Below are 23,678 nucleotides of genomic sequence, written 5' to 3' on the forward strand. Positions count from 1 at the left end.
TGGTTTGACTTCTTTTTTTTTTTTATTATACTTTAAGTTTTAGGGTACGTGTGCACAATGTGCAGGTTAGTTACATATGTATACATGTGCCATGCTGGTGTGCTGCACCCATTAACTCGTTATTTAGCATTAGGTATATCTCCTAAAGCTATCCCTCCCCCCTCCCCCCACCCCACAACAGTCCCCAGAGTGTGATGTTCCCCTTCCTGTGTCCATGTGTTCTCACTGTTCAATTCCCACCTATGAGTGAGAATATGTGGTGTTTGGTTTTTTGTTCTTGCGATAGTTTACTGAGAATGATGATTTCCAATTTCATCCATGTCCCTACAAAGGACATGAACTCATCATTTTTTATGGCTGCATAGTATTCCATGGTGTATACGTGCCACATTTTCTTAATCCAGTCTATCCTTGTTGGACATTTGGGTTGGTTCCAAGTCTTTGCTATTGTGAATAGTGCTGCAATAAACATACGTGTGCATGTGTCTTTATAGCAGCATGATTTATAGTCCTTTGGGTATATACCCAGTAATGGGATGGCTGGGTCAAATGGTATTTCTAGTTCTAGATCCCTGGGGAATCGCCACACTGATTTCCACAAGGGTTGAACTAGTTTACAGTCCCACCAACAGTGTAAAAGTGTTCCTATTTCTCCACATCCTCTCCAGCACCTGTTGTTTCCTGACTTTTGAATGATTGCCATTCTAACTGGTGTGAGATGGTATCTCATTGTGGTTTTGATTTCCATTTCTCTGATGGCCAGTGATGGTGAGCATTTTTTCATGTGTCTGTTGGCTGCATAAATGTCTTCTTTTGAGAAGTGTCTGTTCATGTCCTTTGCCCACTTTTTGATGGGGTTGTTTTTTTCTTGTAAATTTGTTTGAGTTCATTGCAGATTCTGGATATTAGCCCTTTGTCAGATGAGTAGGTTGCAAAAATTTTCTCCCATTTTGTAGGTTGCCTGTTCACTCTGATGGTAGTTTCTTTTGCTGTGCAGAAACTCTTTAGTTTAAAGGGAGAGCTCTGATGGGGAGAAGTAGATTCCTTAGCAAACAGGAATTCCCTAGGAAGGAAGAAGAGAAAAATGGTTGTGGGGTAGGCAACCAACAGTGTTCATTGCCAACTCCTAGCACAAACTCCTTAGAACCAGTGAGCCACCAATAGGAACTTTATCTTGCTTAGACAGACAAAACTGAAAACACTGAAATAAAAGGTGGGGCTTGTGCTGTTGGGAAGAAGGTTTTATCTACTCCAGGCCTAAATGTTTTTCAGTGAGGTTATCGAAATGATATTTATTTAACAAATAAATATCCCATTAGAGTAGGTATCAGTACCTGCCATTTGCAGGTAAGAAAACAGACCCAGGAAGGTTAGGAGACTTTGTCCCGGGCTTCCCAGCAAGGAAGCGCCAGATGTGGGATTCAAGCTCAGGTGTTGGGTCCAAAGCAGATGCTCTCTCTGCTGCTCTACAGAGCAAATTCCAAGGTCTTAAAGGAAGGATAACACAAGCCTGAAAGGGGTCCCGAAGACCATCTATTCTAACCCCCTCGTGAGCTTGCCTCCATGCCATGGCATTTTTCCCACTGGGCACTTGTCCAGCCTTCCCTTGAACCCCTCCATGGAACAGGCAGGAATTCACATCTATGAAAAGAATGCTGAGTGTCCCTCATGGAGCAGGAGCCCACTCCTCAGGGAAACTGAGTGCCTGCACCCAAGGCACACACAACTTTCAAGTAAGAGGGAACATGTCATAGTGTCGTTCAGGATCTCAGATCCAGGATCAGGGAGAGGCAGCACCTGTGTACATGACATCATATGAGATAGAATCACAGCCTTGCTTGTGAGAAAGAAAAAGAGTGGTCCCAAACAGAAGTGAATTTAAATTCACATGGCAAGGCTTTTCTGAAAACACACCTGAGCACATTTCTGCTTGAAATCTATTCGTGATGTTTCTACCAGCTGCTGGTCTATCTGAGCACCAGCTCCATCCTAAGCTAGGCTTACTCCACACAGCTGATAGAGGCTCAGCAAAGCTTAACTAGGCCTGTCATAAACTCGCCCCACAACTAAAATGAGACATTCCTGTTATCTTATTCCTAGTCTAACTTTTATCTGGATAATTCTTTTTGTCTATACACATCCAACCCCCAAACAATCTATGTACTGGATATCTTTTTGTTGTAAATAAAAAAATAAAACATTGACAAGTGTTCAACTTAAATACTCCTTAAAGGGGCACTAATTTAGAAATATATCAATATAATGAAATACTTAAAAATTTTTTTTAAAGAGGCAGAATTAAGTCAGTTGATATGAAATAATCTCTAAGATATTAAGATGCAGCACAGTGGCATCAGTATGCTAGCTACCATTTATGTTTAAAAAAATGGTATATTGAGTGGGACTTTCTTGTTTGTTAGAGTAGAGTTGGAAGGGGAAAGCTGAGGATTATGAAGGATAAATAATGCACCTTGTATAGAAAGCCACCAACAACAGGCCAGAATTCCTTTCTAGGGCTTTCTTAAAGATGAAACAACTGACCTTACAGCTATCAGCACATACTCCCCACCTTCCCACCCTAGTTGGCCTAGTAAGGAGTGTTGGAGTTTTTCCTTTCCCACCACGCCCCCCTGCAAGCCACATGAAATGGGTCCCAAGAGAAACATCATTAAAGATTGGAGTTTACTTGCAAGAAGAGGAGGCTGGTGCCTCATTTACCAGTTGGTCAGCTGCTTAGGTATAGTTGATGCATTGATCTGCCCTGTGCCTGCTGAGCAGGGGCAAAGAGCCTTGGGAGAAATTGCAGAGTCTGGCTTGAAAGGGACATGTGAGTCTCCCATGGGCAAGTGCACATGGAAGGTGACAGCCTTGAGTTGTCTTGTTTCCTATCACTGGGCAAGGAGAGCCCAGCATAAGAGGCTGTGGGGTGTACACAGAGGCAGAGGCTGAAGGGGCTGGAGGAGGTCAACCTGCAGCTTGATCTGCCACATTGGGGAAGCCATGTATGTGAGAGAGCCTCTTTGAAGAACTTACCTGGCAGCCTCAAAGAGCCTGTTTTAGGGTGCCAGCTATTAAGATGGTTAGTGTTGGCCAGTGAGGCCATGAGCATTCACAGAGAAAGAACCATAACATAGGAAGTTCAGTAAGGAAACAGTTACCCTCCCTCTCCATTGCCTCTCCCAGTCCCCAACTTTGATAAAGGAGGGGCAGGAGCTGTCATTGAACCTGATCATGACCCATCCCTCTCTACTCCAAGAGGAAAAGTGAAGGGACAGGAGTAAAAGACAGATATGCCCTCTGCCCACTGCAGGTGCCCCCAGGTCATGATGGGGGTGGGTGGTTTGAATAGATATGATTGTAATTTTACACTCGATTAGACCAGAATTTTTAACAGCTAAAAGTGAGAAGAAAGCTATGGGACCCCTCCATTTCTGCCTCCCTCATAGGGATGGGAGATTGGACAGAGCACAGTTGTAAGTTGTGATCAGTTAAACCCCACCCCCCACTGCCCCACATTTTAGGTTAGTTTCCCACAGCTCCATATATGTGATATGGGCAGACTATCTCTGGAAGGATAGAGAAGAAATGAGGAAATGCCTCTTGAAGAATGACTTGCAGACTGACCCCAGGCCAGGTATACTTCCTGCATATTTTTTGTGCTAGTTTTTGTTTGCTTGTTATCACATGCAAATATTACACAAAATAGGCAGAAGGCATGCCAAAGCAGTGAGAGGGAACAGGGAGGATGGAAGAATGGAGACAGGACCCTTATATCTCAGAAAAAATCAACCAAATTTATCTCTTTAAGGTAACAGGTTCACACTGAGGTGCAAAACTCATATCTATTATTTGCCCCAGAAGGAATGGGTGCCGGGGTGATGGACGCTACTTTGCACACAGTTTGGTCCTGAGGGGCAGAGGAAGTGAGGATAAATGAGGATACTCACAGACAAGTTGCATGCTAGAATTGGCCTATCCGGGTGGCAGGAGACAGAAGAGACACTGGGATGCACACAGCCCTCCACCTGCCTGTCCTCTGCCTAAAGGAGTCTCTTAACCACTTCCTGGGTCATGAGAACATTCCAGAAAGTGGAACCTGACCCTGGCCTTCCCCACCAGACTGCGTGCAAAGGAAAAATCACTTCATTCAAGGATGAGTAGTCGGAAAGCGCCATCACGAGATCTGTGTACAGATAATAACAGAGGAAAGGGGTGTGGGACAGGGAGAGAAGAAACATCACCACGGTATTACAGATATATGTACAGGATTCTCCCTGTGACACTGTTTGTAATAATGATAATAATAATAGTAACTTTAAAACTTGAGAATGGCCTAAATATCCATGAATAAGGAACTAATTCTACAAATCATGGTACATCTATATAACTAGTTCTTTTGAAGCCTATTTTGTGTAATATTTGTATGTGATAACAAGCAAACAAAAACCAGCACAAAAGGTATGCCGGAAGTATACCTGACCTGGGGTCAGTCTGCAAGTCATTCCTCAAGAGGCTTTTCCTCATTTCTTCTGTATCCTTCCAGAGATAGTCTGCCCGTATCCATAAAATCATGAGTTCTGTCTGTACATGCTAATATGGAAAGATATTCAAGATATATAACTTTAAGCGATTTATTAAATAGGCAACATATAAACATAGTATAAAATCCTAATAATACAAAAGGGTATACAGTGCAAAGGAAGTTGCTCTTTTTTTTAAAAACCACAAATATGTTTATTCCTCTAAAAACAGTATACCATCTTTCCAGTTTTCAAAATGTTATCATCAATTATCTGCAGATTACTCTCATTAATCTGATTTTTTAAAATCTCAGAGCAGAGCAATTCACCAGCACCATCATCAAGCGAGCTACAAATCTATCCTTTACCAAAGCAAGGAGACACTTAAGATCAAGTCAAGAGAAGAGCTTTCAGTGTTTGCATAAGGGGTACTCACATTCATTTGTCACACACTTCAGGGCCCCATATCCCCCTTTTAAACTGTCTAACTCCTAACCCGGTCTATTTTTATAGTCTGAAAACAAGGAGTCACCCAAGTGCGATATTCCTTCAGAGCACTGTTGAAAATGGATCAAACATGGAGATCCTCCAGATCCCTGTTCTCAAGTGTTAAAAAATATTTTATATTAGCACATAGAATATCCTTAGATATATTCTGTTATGTTCTAAAGAGTTTGTGTTTCTCCCTTTTTGATGATGTCTTCAATTTCTTCTGAGACCTTTCCTGTATAGTCATTTGGTTCTATTGCTTTTAACTTCTCTTGATACTCCAGCGGCAAACCATTTTTATTTTTGCACCCATGCAAATAATCTTTTTATACTGTGAAGACGGAGGAGCACTTTCGTAATTTGTCATCAGATATCTTTGACAGGTTATTTCTCTTCCTTCTTGAGTTGAAACTTTAACTTCTATTACAACATATGTTCCTTTTTTTTTTTTTTCTTTTTTGAGACGGAGTCTCGCTCTGTCGCCAGGCTGGAGTGCAGTGGCGCAATCTCGGCTCACTGCAAGCTCCGCCTTCCGGGTTCAAGCAATTCTCCTGCCTCAGCCTCCTGGGTGGCTGGGACTACAGGCGCCCGCCACGACGCCCAGCTGTTTTGTATTTTTAGTAGAGACGGGGTTTCACCATGTTGGCCAGGACGGTCTGGATCTGCATGCGGGCCACACAGAAGCCCGCCGCCGAGGGGTTTCGGAGGTGGATACTCTCGTCAGCCGGTTGCTACCGTAGGCGAAGTACAGAAAAATGTCCTCATCCGGGCCCGGGACGTCCCTGCAGCCCAAGTTCGCCATGTCCCACTGCTGCCTGCACGGGAGCCTGGAGCAGAGCTGTGAGGAGCCGCCAGAGAGCGCAGCGCGGCGGCCCAGGACCCCGGCCCAGTGACTGCCTCGCCGCCGCCTCCAGGAAGTTGCACTTTTACCTCATCCCTCAACAGTTCAGATCCTCTCACCAGGGGCAACCCCTATTTTTGGATTCTTGTGCTAGGATATGTTATCAAATTTTTTTAAAAAGGTCAGACCACCGTATGATTCCATATGTGTAAAATTTAGAAGATTACATATATATTTGCAGGTGTGGGTATGTGTACAATATATATATGTTATACATATACACAATACAATATATAAAATCAATATATATTATTTTTTCTAAAACGGGACTGATGACTCAATTAATTAATTAATAATTTCCCCATCAGTCAGATGGGGAAGGGGCTTTTTATTTTCCATCTTTCTTCATTGAATATTTACCATATGCACTTTCACTTGTATGTTTAATCTTTTTATTTATTTAAAGTAGGTACTGGGATGTAGGGAGTTGGAGAAACCCGTTTGGACTAGACTTTAAAGAACTGTGGCAGAAGGGTATGAGATACAATAACAGCTTGAGGGAATAGCAGGATTGAGAAAAAGCATCTTTCATTTAAGGGAAACTCGACTATGTTTGTTTTATTTTTTTCCTTTTGCAGAGAGGAAGCAACTAGTTGAGGGGGGAGAATATGAGAGAGAGAGACAGAGAGAGAGAAAGACGATGCTTGATGGAGCAAAGTCACCAACAGCACTGGAGGAGGGGACAGAGGGCCAGGCAGTGGGGCTGACCTCAGAGAAGAGGGGTGCACCTTTGGAGGGTGCACCGGGAAGGGAGGGGACAAACAAGGAGGGTGCCGAGGCTGAGGATGGGCAAGCTAACTGGCCACAGTGCAAGCCCAAGGGGACGAGGGATTCCAGACTCTGGACACACGGCCGAAATAGCCAACTGTGGGCTCCTGGCTACAGAGGAGGTGAGTGGAGCCAGGAGAAGAAGATGAGAGAAGAGAATGGAGAGGCATTAAGTCAAGATGAAGAATAAAAACTGGTTCAGTGCCAGGGTTTAAAAAAACAATAATATTTTTAAAACGTTATGCCCAGTGACAGGAAATTCAGGCTCTGGGTGACAGGAAATTCAGTAGGCACTCGGTGGCTGCTGGGCTGCATGACTCAATTTGTGTAGCAATGTCGAATGCTGAAACAAAAAATAAAAGTTTTTTAAAAAATACTTTCAAGGTTTTGGGAAATATAATTTTGGTTAACATGACCCCACAATTAAATGAGGTCTATTTAATTAGGGAGGCAGTACTTCTGGAGGAAAACAAATTGCCTAGGCTGTCAATTTAGCAATGCAACAAAACATGAAATCAATAGTTTATTAATATCAGGTGTATGGGTATACACCTGCCTTATACAGAAGTAAGAGCTGTATTCACACACCTAGTTGCAAAGAAATTAAACATGAGCTGAGATGCTCAAAGAAAATGAATCACTTAGGGATAGAGCATCTCTAATTCGAAAGGACAGTTTGTCCCACCCAGAAACAATCTCTGGGCTCATGTGTAGATGGAACTGTCACTTGGAATGACTTGTCAAAAGGGCTTCAGGTAAAACTAAAGCTGAAACTGAAAGGTAAAACTCTGAGCTAATAATAACTATTGACCCACATCACCAGAAAGTTTTGGAAATGAATCAAGAGGAAACAACAGCCACTTAGCCCTTCCTCACCCAAGAATCCTCTCTGCCATTCCTTTCCATCCAGCACTTTTTCCCTGTGTAATAACTTTTGGCTCTCATATTTCATTACTCCTCCACAGAATATGAGGTTCAATTACAGGACTCTCACACAGATAGATGACAAGTGTACTTGTGACAAAATGTTCTCTAGTGGGCTTCTGGCTAATATATTTTTGGCACATCCAAATTATGAAAGAGGACACAATTGTTGGTAAAACCAAGGAAGGCATGTATGTGCTGAGTATTCTGTGTCTAAAATCAAAGTAGGCTGGGCACAGTGGCTCACGCCTGTAATCCCAGCACTTTGGGGGACCGAGGTGGGTGGATCATTTGAGGTCATGAGTTCAAGATCAGCCTGGCCAACATGGTGAAACCCCATCTCTACTAAAAACACAAAACTTAGCTGGGTATGGTGGCATGTGCCTGTAATCCCAGCTACTTGGGAGGCTGAGGCAAGAGAATCGCTTGAATCCAGGAGGTGTAGGTTACAGTGAACTGAGATCACAGCACTGCACTCCAGCCTGGGCGATACAGTGAGACTCCATCTCAAAAAAAAACCCCAAAAAACAACAAAAAAAACAAAAAAACACAAAACCACTCACAAAAAAACAAAAAACAAAGTGCAGAACCATGTGTATAGGATAATCTCTTTTTTATGAATATAAAAATCTAGGGTATGAAAACATTATATAATGTGTGTGTATATGGTTATATATGAATGAGATAGAGCTGTATATCCTAACATGAAACATTTCCAAGTGAAAAACATACTAAATTTGTTACTTTGCAAAGTAATATCTACATCTAAAAAATGAAAAATAAAAAAATGACACATGCATAGACGCATGTGCTGTGCAGCGTGGGTGCCTAGACAGGGTAGTAGGAGGAGGCACAGCCAGCCGTGGGCAGTGCGACCTTGAGGAGGAGTGAACTGGAGCGGGATGGTGCAGGTTTTCAGCTTTGCTCTGTAAACTTCTATATTATTTGAAACTTATACAATCAGGATATATTCCTATATGACTTATGTAAGAAAATAAAGAGAAACAGTAAGCACCAAAAATGAAAAGTGTGTAATCAACTCTTTGAGGCCTTCATAGGAAACTGGAGAACCAGACAGGAGTTAACACAAACATGAAATGACACATCCAGGTCTACTAATCATGACTACACTGGGAAAGAGGGGACAGAGAATTTGGTAGTCATGGCAGACCCAAGTATCTTACTTCTGCAGATTTGAGGAATACCAGAGAACTGTGAAGAGACTGAGCTTGAAAGTCCATCTCAAAAGGTCTTTGCCCTTCAGCAGTGACATGGCAGTGGGGAGGAAGGAAGAAAACAGGCTGTCTTTGTGTGGCTGGTGATGCCTAAGTGCTGGAGCGTGAGACAGTCCCCAGGCCCTGTGCCATAGCTGACATGCAGGAATAGGCGTTGGCACTGGGGAGAGCCAGTCTGCTTGTGACAGAAGCAGCAGATGATCAGAAATGGAGGGCGCTTTCTGACAATGACACCATCATCCCACAGGGAAGGAACATCTGACTCTTGGCTCCCACTAAGATGCTGCCAGAGCGGCTGGTCTCAAAGGGCAAAACAACAGCCCCTGATGGAAAGTCTTCACGACGCAGCCTCCGAGGTCCTTCCGCTCAAGGTAAGAGCCCTGCTTGCCTGGCTCTAACTGGATTCCTGAAAACACTCAGGCACAGGGCAAGCTGAGGAAGGGGTGGTGTGGGGCGGGGCGGTGGCAACAAGTCAGTCTTCTGAATCCCCTATCAAAAATCTGGGAAAGGTAGCTTTTTACAATGAGGGTTGGAAACACTGACACAGAGGATGCTGACTGGGGAGGTTTGGAGCCAACCATGGGACCAGGCCTGTCCATTACAATAGAACCAACAGGGCAACCTGGAGTCACATAGGCTAATCTAAACCAGCCTGACTGATCCCCATGTCCTTCCCAGGACTTCACTGCTCCAAGAGTAATCAGTCACGTGTCTCAGTAGCAGGAATGAAATCTTTGACCTCACAGCAAGTGAAGCTGGTGAAGGAACAGAAGAGAAGTGAGAATAGGTCCATCTCCACAATGAGGGGAGGACAGCATGGAAGAGGGAGTCCAGGCCCTGCCAGCTGAGGAGATGGGGACATAAGGCACAGCTGTGGTAACCCTGGGCCACCACTCTCCAGCGTCCCCAAAGCCTGCTGTGGTACTCTGTGGCTGCCCTCTGCATCCTGTCTGGCTACCAAGGCGAAAGGGTCTCAGCTGTTTAGGCTAGTGCCAGCCATGCTCCCTCTAATGCCTAAGTGAGGGTTCCGAGGCCTCCACTTCAGCATCTGGGATACTACAAGGGGGACCCAGGAGGAGAAGGGGCCCTAAACATGATCAGGGGATTTTGGCATCCAAACGTGTTGGCCTGGAGACTGTGGGGAGCATAGAAGCTTGGAGAACACACAGCAGGTGTTGATGTGAGGCTGGGCGATGGGGAAATGGAGACTGGGGTTGGGAAACCAACCCCTGGAACAGAGGAAACACAACGCCTTAGGCCTTTACATAACCAGCTTTCAACCTGTCTGCACAGGAGAGTCTCCTGGGAAGCTTTAAAAATACCTGTCTGGGCCCCAACCCGGAACAACTAAATTGGAACCCCAGGGGTCCTCTTGGACTTATGCTCCTTCTAGAGACCTTTCTTCCTCAGTGGAAAACCCACTCAAAGGTGTCTTTTCCGTCTTTGCCGGAAGGCAGAAAATTCACTTGGCACACAGGCTTCTCTGCCAAGTCTTGGGAAGTTTACCTACTCTGTGAGGTGCTGTTTCACTATGAAATTTACTCCCCGTGACGTTCAATCCAGGAAACTGAGTCTCAAGGACCCTGGCTAACAACGGCCCTCACCTCCCTTTGGGTGTATCCCCATTTATTTATGGAAAGTATTTTCTGCCACGTGAAGCACAAAGATTTACTGAGAGGAGGGTGTAGCAGAGTGGTGGGTTAATCCTGAGTGGAGTTGCTTTGCTGTGCAGGTAACTTCCTCTTCCCCCTTACAGCATGAACAGACAGGCCTTTGTGTTCTGAGTTCTTGATTCCCTTGTCCTGGGTGTGGAATGGACAAACACTAAGCTCTTTTGCTTTTTAGAATGGAGATATTGTTTTGAAATGTAAGCTGGAGAAAGGTAGGAGACAGCAACTAGGCTTTGAGAAGAAGGGAGTGGCCTGGCTCTGATGGTAGAGAGAGAGTGGCCAGTCTTGAGTGGTGGGGACTTGCATGCCACTCACCATCCAGCACCCAAGTTGAGATGTACATCTCAGGTGAACTGAGTGAACTGAGGCCATGGACACCTAGGGATGAGACCCGGAGTCTCAGGAACTGGGAGCCAAGTGAAAGGGCCAAAGACCTCGTCTGACCTGGAGATGGTGGGGGCCACCAGAGGAGCCTGCAGATGGGGGCATCGTCCTGGGGACCTGGACAATAAGCAGCTCACTGGCTACCATGCTGCACTAAAGGCCCCTGCCCAATGTTCCTGAATGGTGGAAACTCTAGGACTCTAGACTTCTTTGATCTTCCCAAGGGAGGGATAAGCACAAGGTGATTGGGGTCTGGGCCAGATTTAATTTTCTTTAGAGAAATTAAGAAATGTGGCAATTGTGTTTTTTTTTTTTTTTTTTTTTTTTGAGACAGAGTCTCACTCTGTCGCCAGGCTGGTGTGATCTGGGCTCACTGCAATCTCCGCCTCCTGAGTTCAAGTGATTGTCTTGCCTCAGCCTCCTGAGTAGCTGGGACTACAGGCACCCGCCACCACGCCCAGCTAATTTTTGTATTTTGGGTAGAGACGGGGTTTCACCACGTTGCCCAGGGTGGTCTCCATCCCTTGACCTCATGATCCGCCCACCTCAGCCTCCCAAAGTGCTGGGATTACAGGCATGAGCTACCGCGCCCGGCCAAAATGTGGCAATTCTTATGCTCTAGGGTAGTGGAGTGATTCACACGACCTATATAGATTTGTTGGTTTAAGCAGATCATTGAGGGAGGGCGTTTCCATCCAGTGGCTTTGAAGAAGAGGGTAGAATTAAAGTCTGGTGTATGGCATGAAAAAACCCAACAGAGCCAAAGGGGTGATGCAGGAAAGCCAGGGGAGGAGATCCTGGTAGCAGGTGTTCTAAAAGGAACTTTGGAACCAGCAATAACTAGCATTTTCTGTGGGATATGGATCTAAAGCTCTTCTGTTCCTCCTCTAGGGCATCTTCAGTGAAGTTGAACCTGGTTCCCCAAAGTTTACATGTGATGGCTTCTCTTACCCCAATTCCTCCTTGGAAAATTTTTAAAGTAGCTGTGATTTATTGTTACAAAAACTCCTATAGAAATGTGTACTTCCTCTCATTCCTGACCCCTAGCTTCAGTTCCTCTCCCCAAAAGCAACCACTGTTACCAGTTTCTCGTTTCTCCTTCTGGGGATGCCCTTCATGTATTTTTTCTTAAACAGTATCATTTCTGCTGCTGTTCCACCCCAGCCCTGGTCACTTCACAATTGACCTTGAGCAGATGTACCCCTAACTCATTTTTAGAATGCTACTCACAATTCCATTTTGTGAATGTACCCTCATACATTCAACCAGTCTCCTGTTATTGGAGTTTCCAACATGACTTTCCTTTCTGTGTGAGTGTTTTCTTTTGGAGAGCTCAGAGGTACCTGGGGGGTACTCAGGAGCTTGAGGTCAGAGGACCCAGAGAGTTGAAATCCTGGGGAATTGCTAATATTGGGGAACTTTGGGGTTTCCCCAGCCAAGGCATTGGAGATTTGAGGTGATACTAAAAATATCTCAAGGGTTGATATTTCAGTTTTTTTCCCTCCTCTGAATCCCAGAAATTTCTGGACTAAGCTCCCCTTATGTGCATTAGTGGAGAGATGAAGAGAATGCACCTTTACATGCCCTGCAGTCTGACCCAGAGGCTCTCCATAAAATTGGATTGAATTGAATATACCTTATGTTTGTGAACAAAAATATAGCATTTGTTGCACAGTTTTTTTTTTCTCCTCTGAATCTTCCAGTAGAGAATGGCAATCCTTGCAAAGACCTTCCTATTAGTTTTGGGAATCAGCAGATGGTGTCCGACATGCACTTAATTTGTTTTTTCCTTCCCCCCAACTCTGGCCCCGTCTTTTTTAGGCCCTGCTATTTTGCTGGGCTGAGCAGTATTCCTGCCTTTCAACATCACCCTGAAGGCTCTGACCTGTGAGTACTGATTCACAGGCGGTGTTGGAGGCACTTTAAGATTCCTGCCATGTCATCCTGTTCCTCTTCTGACACAGGCAAGAGCAGTAATGTTCCAGTTGGGCGTTGACTTCTTCCAGGACTGGGTCAACATTCAGGAATTATGAAACTAGTTGCCTCATTTCCTCATGATCTGAAAACCCAAAGGCAATTCCCTCAGGAGGAACAAGTGGGTGGCTGCCATATAGACACCAGCTGGATATCCTCATAGTCGGAGTTTGAGATGAGGAAAGGGTGATGCCCCTTGATAGCAACTTAATGCACATGGGGCATTATTCTGACACACAGTGACACACCTGGCTGTTGTTACTCCTCTTGGATTATTCCATCCCTTGTACTGAGAGCAAGGCCAACCCCAACATGATGAAGCAATTGGTTGGGAGGAAGGTTTCCATAAAAGAAAGGAGAAAGAGAATGATGCAATCTCCATTTTTGTTTCTTCCTCACCTAGTTGAATTCTATAGCAACATTAGCAGAAACACTAGATCCAAGCTCAGGATTCCCAGTTGTGGTGGTGGGAGAGGTGCCCCCAGGAAGTATTGTAGGACTCCTGGAAGTATACACAGGGCTAATGCTAGGCTGCAGTTCAGCAGCATGCGGCAAGGACCAGCAGCAGTTCTGATTGGTTGGGGCCAACGCGATCTGGGGCGTTAATATTTTAAATATGTCTAGATGTATTCTGATATTTAATATTACATAAACATTTTATATGTGGAAAATAAAGGAGGGGAATTTTGTAATTCAAACTACAGGAACTGGTAGGTGAGATGGAGTAATGCAAAAATCACAGTGGGAGGAAAGAAATCCCTGGGGACCACCCCAGCATTTGGGATGGTGATAGTAAGAATTTTGCACATATCAGAAGGGCACATGAGTAAAATATGGTTGAGAAACACTACATAAAATAGAGGTGGTTCTGGTTTGATACCAGCAGGGGTGATACATGAAGAAAACCCATTATAAATCTTCCGTGCATGCCGTTGCGGGGTGGTGCGTTGTCAGACATAGAGATTGAAATCACTCAGCCTTGTGGTCATGAGGCGTGCCAATGGCTTTCCTGAGTCTTTGGGGGCTCCTGAGCAGTGTTCCAGGCACCCTCGTTTGTTCTCACCATTCTGTGATTTCAGGCTCACGTGTTGGAAAAGGGCTTCCTGAAGTAGAGGCCCACAGAAGGCACTACAGTGTGGTGGTGAAGAGCGTGGTTTCAGTCCCAGGCAGACCCAGTCCCAGTTCCTCGGCTGCCACTCACTGGCCACAGAATGCAAGCAAGTGACTTAATCTCTCCGGCCTCCAGTTTCCTCTTTGGTGAGGGTCACAGGACTCACCGCAGAGGAGAGGGGAGGAGCATTTGAGATGATATACTGATAATGTGTTTTCCACAGGGCCTGGCCTAGAGTAGGTGCTTAGTAAGTGGTAGCTGGCACTGCCAGTGCACAGGAGTGAGAGAGCTTGTGAGTCCCACTTCAGCCACAGAAGAGGAGGCAGAAATGCCATGAAGGTTGAGAACTGGAAAAGGGTGATGATCAGGAATAATGACCCTAAGGAAGCAGGAGGTCTTCTGAATCCTCGAAGATTTCCCTGTCCCCAGTAAATCTCCAGTCCTGATGAAGAAAAAAATCTTGTTTCTTGTTTTCGAGAGTGTCAGAAGTAGCTGGAAAGATGTGTCCTGTGCCTAGCCAAAGTTAGGAGAAGAGAAAACACCTAGGAACCAGAGGCAAAAAGAAAAAAAAAAAACCTGGAACCTGGGGCTTGCAGAAAGGCAAAAAAAAAAAAAAAAAAAAAAAAAAAAAATAGTAGCTGACAGTCAGCCAAGACTCGAAGTGTGGCCCCAGGGGCTTGGCCAACAAGAAGCCTGTGGCAATTCCTGACGCAGTAGTTCTGGGAAGTTGATTTACCCAATAAACCTCCCTGCATGGGCTCAGTTTAAGTTTGCAGCTTACTATAAATAAATGTTTGTTCAATGAACACAACTGAATGGGCAGGCTAGCTTGGCTAATAGTATCTATGATTTAGCTACTCTAGAGCCTTCCAAAGGTATCAGGTGTGCCTTATCCATTAGCACAGAGAGGCACAGGGCTGAGCAGGTGAAGGGAGTACACCGCTGTGGTTTGACCTGCTCAATATCCCTTCTTCCTGAAACAGAATCTATCTTTTCTTCTTGGGGAGCCACCCCTCCACTACTTTTAGCCCTTGGCTTAGGTTCTTCTTTTAAGACTCAGTTCTACCAGGAGGTAACCTCTGGTAAATTCTCAAATCCTAGTGCCAGGGTTAGGCATGCGATCAAGGCAATATATCCAAGAAGCGGTATGGGAGGCAATTTGAGCCAATGAGATGCAACTCAATACCTGGAGCCCCTGGGCCAGAGACTTGGAGTTTGTATATCTGCAATTGTTGGGGTTTTGCCTTCTCTCCAAGAAAGCCTGAGTGAGGATGAAGACAACAGGATAAAGCAGAAACGAGAGGGAGAGATGGATTCCTCCTGACACCATTTGAGCTCCTCCTTCTCCAGCTGAGCGTGAGCTAGCCCTGCATTTTCCCGTTGCGTGGGCTCGTAAATTCTCTTTGTGCTTGAGTGGGTTTGAGGTGGGCATCTTTCACCTAAATACAATGGCAAACTGAGAGGGTACCTTCTGTTATCTCTTCACCAGCAGAGTGGAAAAGCAACAGAGTCCTCCTTGTGACCTGAATTATAGATTTCACAGCTCTTTTCAAGGGTTAGCCTCTGTGTTGACTTTTGGTCTTCCCAACTCAGGTGCTTGATTTAAGCTCTAGTCTGAAATTAATTCCACATTTTGTAAAATAAGGAGGAAACAGGAGCTGGTGAGGAAGCATCAACATTTTACAATAAGATCGATTTATATAAAATTTGCTAAACATCTGCCAGTGTATCCACTGCCGAGCCTGGATTATCATCTCCAGCATGGAGTACTGTCTTTTTCTTAACTGCATGGGAGCCATTCTGAGAAACAGTAGGAAATAACTTTGTTAAAAGATGGAGAAGAGTCATCTGGACAATGGAAATTAGTATTCTATTACCTTTCAAGTTTGATGAGTATGGGTTTGGGGTTTAGTAAGTAGTAAATATGGTTTGCATGTCTGTGTCTCTGGCAAGAGGATATATATCTCTGAATAGAACTTGGTCAGCAAATATAAACTGCCTTTAGGTTCATATAGTTTGACAAACATGCTTTTCTAACCTGTGGGTCAGATGGAGATGTGGTTCTTTCTTGTTCCCTGCAGACACCCTGGTCTCCCTTTGTATTAGTCCATTTTCACACTGCTATAAAGAATACCTGAGACTGGGTAATTTATTAAAAAAAAAGAGGTTTAATTGATTCACAGTTGAGCATGGCTGGAGAGGCTGCAGGAAACTTACAATCATGGTGAAAGGCAAAGGGGGAAGCAAGGCGTGTCTTACATGGTGGGAGGAGAGAGAGAGACAGCAAGGGAAGGGGACGTGCTACATTTTTAAACCATCAGATCTCATAAGAACTCTCTCACTATCACAAGAACAGCATGGGGGAAACCACGCCCATGATCCAATCACCTCCCACTGGTTCCTCCCTCAACACTTAGGGATTATAATTCAAGATGAGATTTGGATGGGGACAGAAAGCCAAACCATATCACCCTTCTTCTACATATCCAAAATGTTCCCTACCTTTTCAATTCAAGCCATGTGTGAGATTGGGAAAGTTCTCAATGTGCTTCAGTGATCTTATCTGTAAAATGAGCAGCTTGGACTAGATCAATGGTTCCAACTTTAAAAAAAGGAGTAGAATTCTTTGTTCAAACAGAACTTACACTGAACCCCCATAAATAAACAGATAAAACTGTTGCTATTAAAATGTGGGTGGGACCTGGAAGCCTCCTTGGTTGGCCTCAAGGATGGCTCTTGAGGTACCTTCATGAGCCTTTAAGACTCAGATGAACAGCCAGGCCTGGTGGTTCATGCCTGTAATCCCGGCACTTTGGGAGGCCATGGAGGGCGGCTGACCTGAGGTCAGGAGTTCGAGACCAGCCTGGCCAACTTGGCAAAACCTAGTCTCTACTAAAAATACAAAAATTAGCCAGGTGTGGTGGCGGGCACCTGTAGTCCCAGCTACTCAGGAGGCTGAGGCAGGAGAATCTCTTGAACTCGGGAGGTAGAGGTTGCAGTGAGCCGAGATTGCACCACTTCACTCCAGCCTGGGCAACAGAGAGAGACTCCATCTCAAAAAAAAGACTCAGATGAACTATTTCAGAGCCTCAGACCAGATGTTCTCCAAGATCTTTTCCATCTCCCAACATTGCAGTCCTGTTTTTAAGTGCCACATCTTCTGTGAAGCCTTTTTAATACCCTGACTCATGCAGATTGCTTCTTTTTCTGTGCCACTTAGCGTTTGTGACTATGCACACACACTGCCCGTGTTTGTACACTGAACCACGTATGGAGATTGTCTTTCTTTGAAGCTTGTACCTCTATGCATTTCTTTTGGAAACTGACTCAAAACTGACTAGTAAGGTACAGAATGTAACTGAAAGAACTCAGGAAATGGGGAGATAAATTTTGTTCACAGTCCAGGGAAAGGTCTGCCCTCCTGGGGCAAGTCGCCTGTGCTGGCATATGGTGAGCTGCTAGCCCAAAGCAAATAAAATCTGGATAGATATGAAGCATGGGTACCAGGCACAGATGGGCGGCACAGACCTAAGGTCCCCATAATTGGTCCGTCTCCCAGATCTTTTTTTCCTGGTGCTCGTGTTGGCCAAGCTGTGGTAGTTGGAAGGCCATGGAAGATGTTTGCATAGCCTCACCTTTCAGCGTCACTGGGCCAGCCACTGCAGTAGATGGTTAGGTTACTACTAAAGACACCATCAGGGGGAAAAGCCTGGGCTTGTCTCTACTACCCCACCTGCCTTAGTTGTTTTCTTTCCACTGTGGGTCGAGTTCTGCTTTCCTGAATAGCGGGCTTTTTTACTGTCATCCTCAGTCTGGGGTTATGTGTAAACTTTAGGGAGCTTAGAAACATACCTCACACTGGATGTGATTTTTGCAAGACCAGCCATGTTCAGTGGGACCTACCCTAGGGCAGTATGTAGTGAACAGATTCTGGAGGCTCAGGAAGAGACATTATGGCTGGAGCACCACCTAGTGGCAGTGAAGAACAGTGCATGTGATGAACCAATGATCTTCCCAGTGAAGTGTAAATGGGTAAATATTAAGTTAAATCGCTTTCAGAGATTCCCTTTCTCCAAAAACAATCCCATTTAAAATATGCTTTAAAGCAAAAACTATACTGGACATAATTTTTAGTCTTTTACTAATTATTCCAAATATATCAGTGTCATCATAATGAAGACTTATTATAGAGTTCTCAGTGATAAGATGCTTAATATTAGCCTGTAAATGATTGCTATCATTTACAAGAGGAATTAGGAGAAAGAATGTGGCTAATTCAGTGGAAACTCACTTCTGAAAATTATTCAGTTTGCCACAGATCTTTTGGAATATTGAATCTTAGAATCTTTGTGTTGTGAAAAGTCTCAAGGATACACTAGCCCTGTGCTGAACATTTTCTTAGCCATGGAACTCTTTCTTCTAATAAAATCTTATTCTGCCACCTGTATTACCTTCAAACCCTTAGAATGGTCAACAAGGGAAGCCATGCAGTTGTCTATATGTTCGAATTTGAGGTACATATGAGGTATAGCTTATGCTGTGGTCATACTGAGCTTTTCCACAAACCTAATAAAACATATCCAAAAAATTATCACCACTAAAGGAGTCATCTTCAGAGGCAGTACTTTTATGCCAATATAACCACCACTGATCAAGACAATTTGGGGACTTCTCTTTTAAAATTGCCTTTGTATTAGTTTATACTGGTGACATGAAAATCATATTACATTACTTTGGGTCCTACTTGTTTGGAACAAAAAACTGCATTACACAGCTCAGTCGACTTTCTTAATTATCAAATTGATCCGATATCCTCTATTTCTCAAAACTAAATCTTTCCAAAAGGTAAGAAGATGATGGTCATGGATTTTGCAGTACATCTCTGTGCCTCTCAAACTCTGGGAGATGATTTACCCTTGAAAGAGCTCAAGGTGATGACCTTTAAATGGTTTGCAGATACAAGGAGAGAGACAGATGGGCAAAGAAGTGCAGTTCATTTTCGATTAGAAAATATTCCTCTAATTTCTAATTAGAAAAGTTTTAAAGTGATGTAGAAGGTAAGACTAGGGTGAGTGGGGGTAATGAGAATGAGAAAGTCTTTAACAGGGGGACTGTTAAAAGACTCACTCCTTCAGGATGGCTTTGGTATAATGTGTATGATTGTAGAGACAGACTTGGTTCCTACGACAACAGATGTAAAAAAAAAAGAGGCAAATATTCCTATTTTTTTCATAAAATATCCAACATTTCACAGCAGTTTGCAAAGGTTAAAGTCGGATCTCAAGTTAAAACTGGTGTGTAGCCATAATACTAATCATACACAGTACTCTTTGTTCATTTAATTTAGTTGAAATTAAAAACAACTTTATAAGTATAATTTTAATAATGAATTATTTTAAATAGGCAACATACATATCAACAATTGGTTTTGAATCTGTGCTTGCTGGCTGAGAAGAGGGGTTAAGAGTGTGAGCTCTGACTTCCCAGGATTGAATTCTAGCTTGACCTTGGGCAAATCACATAGTATTTCAGTGCCTTAGTCTCCAGCTCTGGAAAATGAGGATGATAATAATTGCACCCCCTTAAAAAGTTGTTGTGAGGAATGTAAAAGAACATTTTCTCCTTACAGGAGCATTTCTCAAGGATGGATCATAACTGACTATTGTGTGTCTCAAGGTTGGCTCCAAACCAGCAGAAGCTGAATAAAGAACTGTGAACTTGGAATGACTGTGGGACGCTAGGCTCTTACTGGTCCTAACTGAAGACTTTTTCCCAACAGCGAGCAATGGGGCTTCTTTTAACCAACTCTATTTACAACCTTAGATTCATTCCGTTCTTTGCAAAGTACTGGATTTCAACACTTAATTAGCAATAACCACATGAACCTACCCTGGCAAGCCCTTTAACAACTCTGAATTTTCCCTCTCAGTGAGCTACTACTTAATTCAGTAAATTTCTCCCTATCCTGTATTCCTGTGGCTAGCAAGTCAATAGACTCAGCTTTTATTTTATTTTGAGTTGGAGTCTCGCTCTGTCATTCAGGCTAGAGTGCAGTAGCTTCATTTTGGCTCACTGCAACCTCTGCCTCCCGGGTTCAAGCGATTCTCTTGCCTCAGCCTCCTGGGTAGCTGGGACTACAGGCATGTGCCACCATGCCCAGCTAATTTCTGCATTTCTAGTGGAGATGGGGTTTCACCATGTTGGCCAGGCTGGTCTTGAACTCCTCACCTCAAGTGATCCACCGGCCTCGGCCTCCCAAAGTGCTGGGATTACAGGCATGAGCCAGTGCTCCTGACCTCAACTTTTAATTTTTATCTATCGATCTAGTCTATTATTACCCGCTACTTACCTACCCATCCATCCATTCATCCATCCATCCATCTGCCCATCCTTTTTTTTGTTTATTAGCTCTGGTCTTTGTTATATTTGTTGATAGGCCCAAGTAAATTAGTATGTGTAAAACTCACTTAAAACAGTGCTTAGCACATGGTAAGCATAATATGTGATAGCCCTTATGATCTAGTAACTCACCAGTATCTTGTGTGTATTAGAACAATGTGTCTCTGTAATATTTTAATTATATCTCTATAAGAGCATACATAAATGACAATATATAAATCTCAATAACAGAATGTTTCTAACCCAAGTTTTAAGTAATGATATGTGTTCAGGAATACTTCATCTGGCATCTAGGGGAATGGTTGGGAAGATTTTGAGCTTCTCCAGTGGGAAAAAGGCTGGCATATTCAGGTCTAACTTCAGAGTCAAAGTCTTTGAAGTTAATAAATAGTTTTTAATTTTGAATAAAATAAAAACTATTTTTTTTAGTTTGAAGAAAGACTATTCATTCTCCAGCTTATGAACTTTTTTTTTTTTTTTTTGAGACAGAGTCTCGCTCTGTCGTCCAGACTGGAGAAATGGCGCAATCTTGGCTCACTATAACCTCCACCTCCCGGGTTCAAGCAATTCTCCTGCCTCCACCTTCTGAGTAGCTAGGATTACAGGCACCCGCCAGCACGTCCAGCTGATTTTTGTATTTTTGTATAAACGGGGTTTCACCATGTTGGCCAGACTGGTCCTGAACTCCTGACCTCAGGTGATCCACCCACCTTGGCCTCCCAAAATGCTGAGATTACAGGCGTGAGATACCATGCCCAGCCGAACTTAAGAACTTTTGAAAATTATAACTCTGAGCTTTTTAAGGACACAGGGTTAAAAGGTGGTTTGTTGGCAGATGGGCATCAGCAAAGCCTGTTTCGAAAGCTCAGCATGAGTGCACACATGCAATCAGCCTTGGCCTTGCACTGTAAATTTTTAGCAAAGTACACAAGTATGGGGTTTTGTTGCCAAGGAAATGGCTTTGTTTCTCTGAGGAAGGAGACATTGAGGACACTTCTCTGTAAGTGATCACCGAGCAAGGCCATATTGTTTCCCAGACCTGCTGTTCTGTACAACGTGAAGCTCTTCGGTCCTGTCTGTGCTTCTCTGGCCAGTCTTCATTACAGTGGCAGCAGGCAAGCCAGGCTTTTGCTGACATCTACCTTCCCTTTCTACTTGCCTAGGCAATTGTGGCTTGTGTTTGAACTGAACGATGAAGAAAGATCTCAGGCAGTTTTGAGTCAGCCTTCAGGTTCCTCAGAAACTTTAAACACAGGAATCAATGAGGTCACTGAGGTCAGGAACTCTAGGCGCCCCTGCCTCATGCTTGGAGCATCAACTTCTGGAGGTCAAGGGTAGGACTATCAGGGACTGCATGACGAAGATGATAGTGGTAAGAGGTGACAGCGTGCTGGCAGTCCTCACAGCCCTCGCTCGCTCTCAGCACCTCCTCTGCCTGGGCTCCCACTTTGGCGGCACTTGAGGAGCCCTTCAGCCCACCGCTGCACTGTGGGAGCCCCTTTCTGGGCTGGCCAAGGCCGAAGCCGGCTCCCTCAGCTTGCAGGGAGGTGTGGAGGGAGAGGCGCGAGCGGGAACCGGGGCTTTGCAGGCGGCGCTTGCGGGCCAGCTGGAGTTCCGGGTGGGCGTGGGCTTGGCGGGCCCTGCACTCCGAGCAGCCGAGTGGCCCTGCCGGCCCCGGGCAATGAGGGGCTTAGCACCCGGGCCAGCGGCTGCGGAGGGTGTACTGGGTCCCCTAGCAGTGCCGGCCCACCGGCGCTGCGCTCGATTTCTCGCCAGGCCTTAGCTGCCTTCCCGCCGGGAAGGGCTCGGGACCTGCAGCCCGCTATGCCTGAGACTCCCACCCACTCCATGGGCTCCTGTGCGGCTGAGCCTCCCCGACGAGCGCCGCCCCCTGCTCCAGGGCGCCCAGTCCCATCGACCACCCAAGGGCTGAGGAGTGCGGGTGCACGGTGTGGGACTGGCGGGCAGTTCCACCTGCAGCCCAGGTGCGGGATCCACTGGGTGAAGCCAGCTGGGCTCCTGAGTCTGGTGGGGACGTGGAGAACCTTTATGTCTAGCTCAGGGACTGTAAATACACCAATCTACACTCTGTATCTAGCTACTCTGGTGGGGCCTTGGAGAACCTTTATGTCTAGCTCAGGGATTGTAAATGCACGAATGTGCACTCTCTATCTAGCTCAAGGTTTGTAAACACACCAATCAGCACCCTGTGCCTAGCTCAGGGTTTGTGAATGCACCAATCAACAGTCTGTATCTAGCTACTCTAGTGGGGCCTTGGAGAACCTTTATGTCTAGTTCAGGGACATACACCAATCAGCACTCTGTATCTAGCTCAAGGTTTGTAAACACACCAATCAGCAACCTATGTCTAGCTGAGGGTTTGTGAATGCACCAATCCACACTCTGTATCTAGCTACTCTGGTGGGGACTTGGAGAACCTTTGTGTGGACACTCTGTATCTAGCTAATCTGGTGGGGACGTGGAGAACCTTTGTGTCTAGCTCAGGGATTGTAAATGCACCAATCAGCGCCCTGTCAAAACAGACCACTGGGCTCTACCAATCAGCAGGATGTGGGTGGGGCCAGATAAGAGAATAAAAGCGGGCTGCCCCAACCATCACTGGCAACCCACTCCAGTCCCCTTCTGCACTGTGGAAGCTTTGTTCTTTTGCTCTTTGCAATAAATCTTGCTACTGCTCACTCTTTGCGTCCACACTGCCTTTATGAGCTGTAACACTCACTGCGAAGGTCTGCAGCTTCACTCCTGAAGCCAGCCAGACTACGAACCCACCGGGAGGAACGAACAACTCCAGATGCGCCACCTTAAGAGCTGTAACACTCACCGCGAAGGTCCCGCAGCTTCACTCCTGAGCCAGCAAGACCACGAACCCACCAGAAGGAAGAAACTCCGAACACATCTGAACATCAGAAGGAACAAACTCTGGACACACTGCCTTTAAGAACTGTAATACTCACCGTGAGGGCCCGCGGCTTCATTCTTGAAGTCAGTGAGACCAAGAACCCACCAATTCCAGACACAGTGGGATCACAGAGAGAGCCAACAGTCCAGGCCATGACAAGCTGGCACCCAGCTCTGCTTCACATGTAAGTTATTCCTCTTCTAATTGTCCCGCTAGGTGAAATTGATTAATCATTTATTCAGAATCTCCACTTCCTGCTAGTTGTCCAACTGGCGTGGCTGTAGCTCCTTCCTGCAAGGCAATGCTGAAGAAGCTATGGAAGCAAGAAGGAAGCATGGATTCTAAAAACTGACAACAAACCACTTACCCCTATTGCTCTTCTT

The 23,678-nt window shown here is 45.0% G+C and overlaps 3 long non-coding RNA genes and 1 pseudogene across 4 annotated transcripts in view, besides 5 other annotated features; 2 read left to right on the forward strand and 2 right to left on the reverse strand.

Annotated features, from left to right (window-relative positions):
- Positions 1-23,470, reverse strand: LOC124901029 (uncharacterized). Of its 2 annotated transcripts, XR_007058875.1 has the most exons (4): positions 4,957-5,454; positions 4,481-4,590; positions 3,948-4,183; positions 1-1,063 (listed from the first exon to the last, which is right to left on the reverse strand). It is a non-coding gene; the product is annotated as an uncharacterized LOC124901029 (long non-coding RNA). The 2 variants fall into 2 exon arrangements; XR_007058876.1 differs by lacking the exons at positions 3,948-4,183; positions 4,957-5,454 and adding an exon at positions 23,351-23,470 and having other exon boundaries at positions 939-1,063; positions 4,476-4,590.
- GGCTP1 (GGCT pseudogene 1) lies at positions 4,720-5,333 on the reverse strand (annotated as a pseudogene).
- Positions 5,452-5,561: an enhancer, noted in NCBI's record as "active region_22808". NCBI's record gives its function as "activates an Ori minimal core promoter by ATAC-STARR-seq in GM12878 lymphoblastoid cells {active_cell/tissue: GM12878}" and the evidence as "EXISTENCE:reporter gene assay evidence [ECO:0000049][PMID:35858748]".
- On the forward strand, positions 5,592-20,622 carry LOC102724720 (uncharacterized). Its single transcript, NR_157807.1, has 3 exons — positions 5,592-6,031; positions 9,085-9,208; positions 19,606-20,622. It is a non-coding gene; the product is annotated as an uncharacterized LOC102724720 (long non-coding RNA).
- Positions 5,682-5,731: an enhancer, noted in NCBI's record as "active region_22809". NCBI's record gives its function as "activates an Ori minimal core promoter by ATAC-STARR-seq in GM12878 lymphoblastoid cells {active_cell/tissue: GM12878}" and the evidence as "EXISTENCE:reporter gene assay evidence [ECO:0000049][PMID:35858748]".
- Positions 13,746-13,865: an enhancer, noted in NCBI's record as "active region_22810". NCBI's record gives its function as "activates an Ori minimal core promoter by ATAC-STARR-seq in GM12878 lymphoblastoid cells {active_cell/tissue: GM12878}" and the evidence as "EXISTENCE:reporter gene assay evidence [ECO:0000049][PMID:35858748]".
- Positions 13,876-13,985: an enhancer, noted in NCBI's record as "active region_22811". NCBI's record gives its function as "activates an Ori minimal core promoter by ATAC-STARR-seq in GM12878 lymphoblastoid cells {active_cell/tissue: GM12878}" and the evidence as "EXISTENCE:reporter gene assay evidence [ECO:0000049][PMID:35858748]".
- Positions 17,829-17,878: an enhancer, noted in NCBI's record as "active region_22812". NCBI's record gives its function as "activates an Ori minimal core promoter by ATAC-STARR-seq in GM12878 lymphoblastoid cells {active_cell/tissue: GM12878}" and the evidence as "EXISTENCE:reporter gene assay evidence [ECO:0000049][PMID:35858748]".
- LINC01554 (long intergenic non-protein coding RNA 1554) overlaps positions 22,997-23,678 on the forward strand; it is a 7,902-nt gene continuing 7,220 nt past the window's right edge. Inside the window, exon 1 of the long non-coding RNA NR_026936.1 lies at positions 22,997-23,479. This is a non-coding gene — a long non-coding RNA (long intergenic non-protein coding RNA 1554). The remainder of the gene's footprint in view (positions 23,480-23,678) is intronic.

The sequence above is a fragment of the Homo sapiens genome, chromosome 5 (assembly GCF_000001405.40).
Source record: "Homo sapiens chromosome 5, GRCh38.p14 Primary Assembly".
Taxonomy (NCBI): Eukaryota; Metazoa; Chordata; class Mammalia; order Primates; family Hominidae; genus Homo; species Homo sapiens.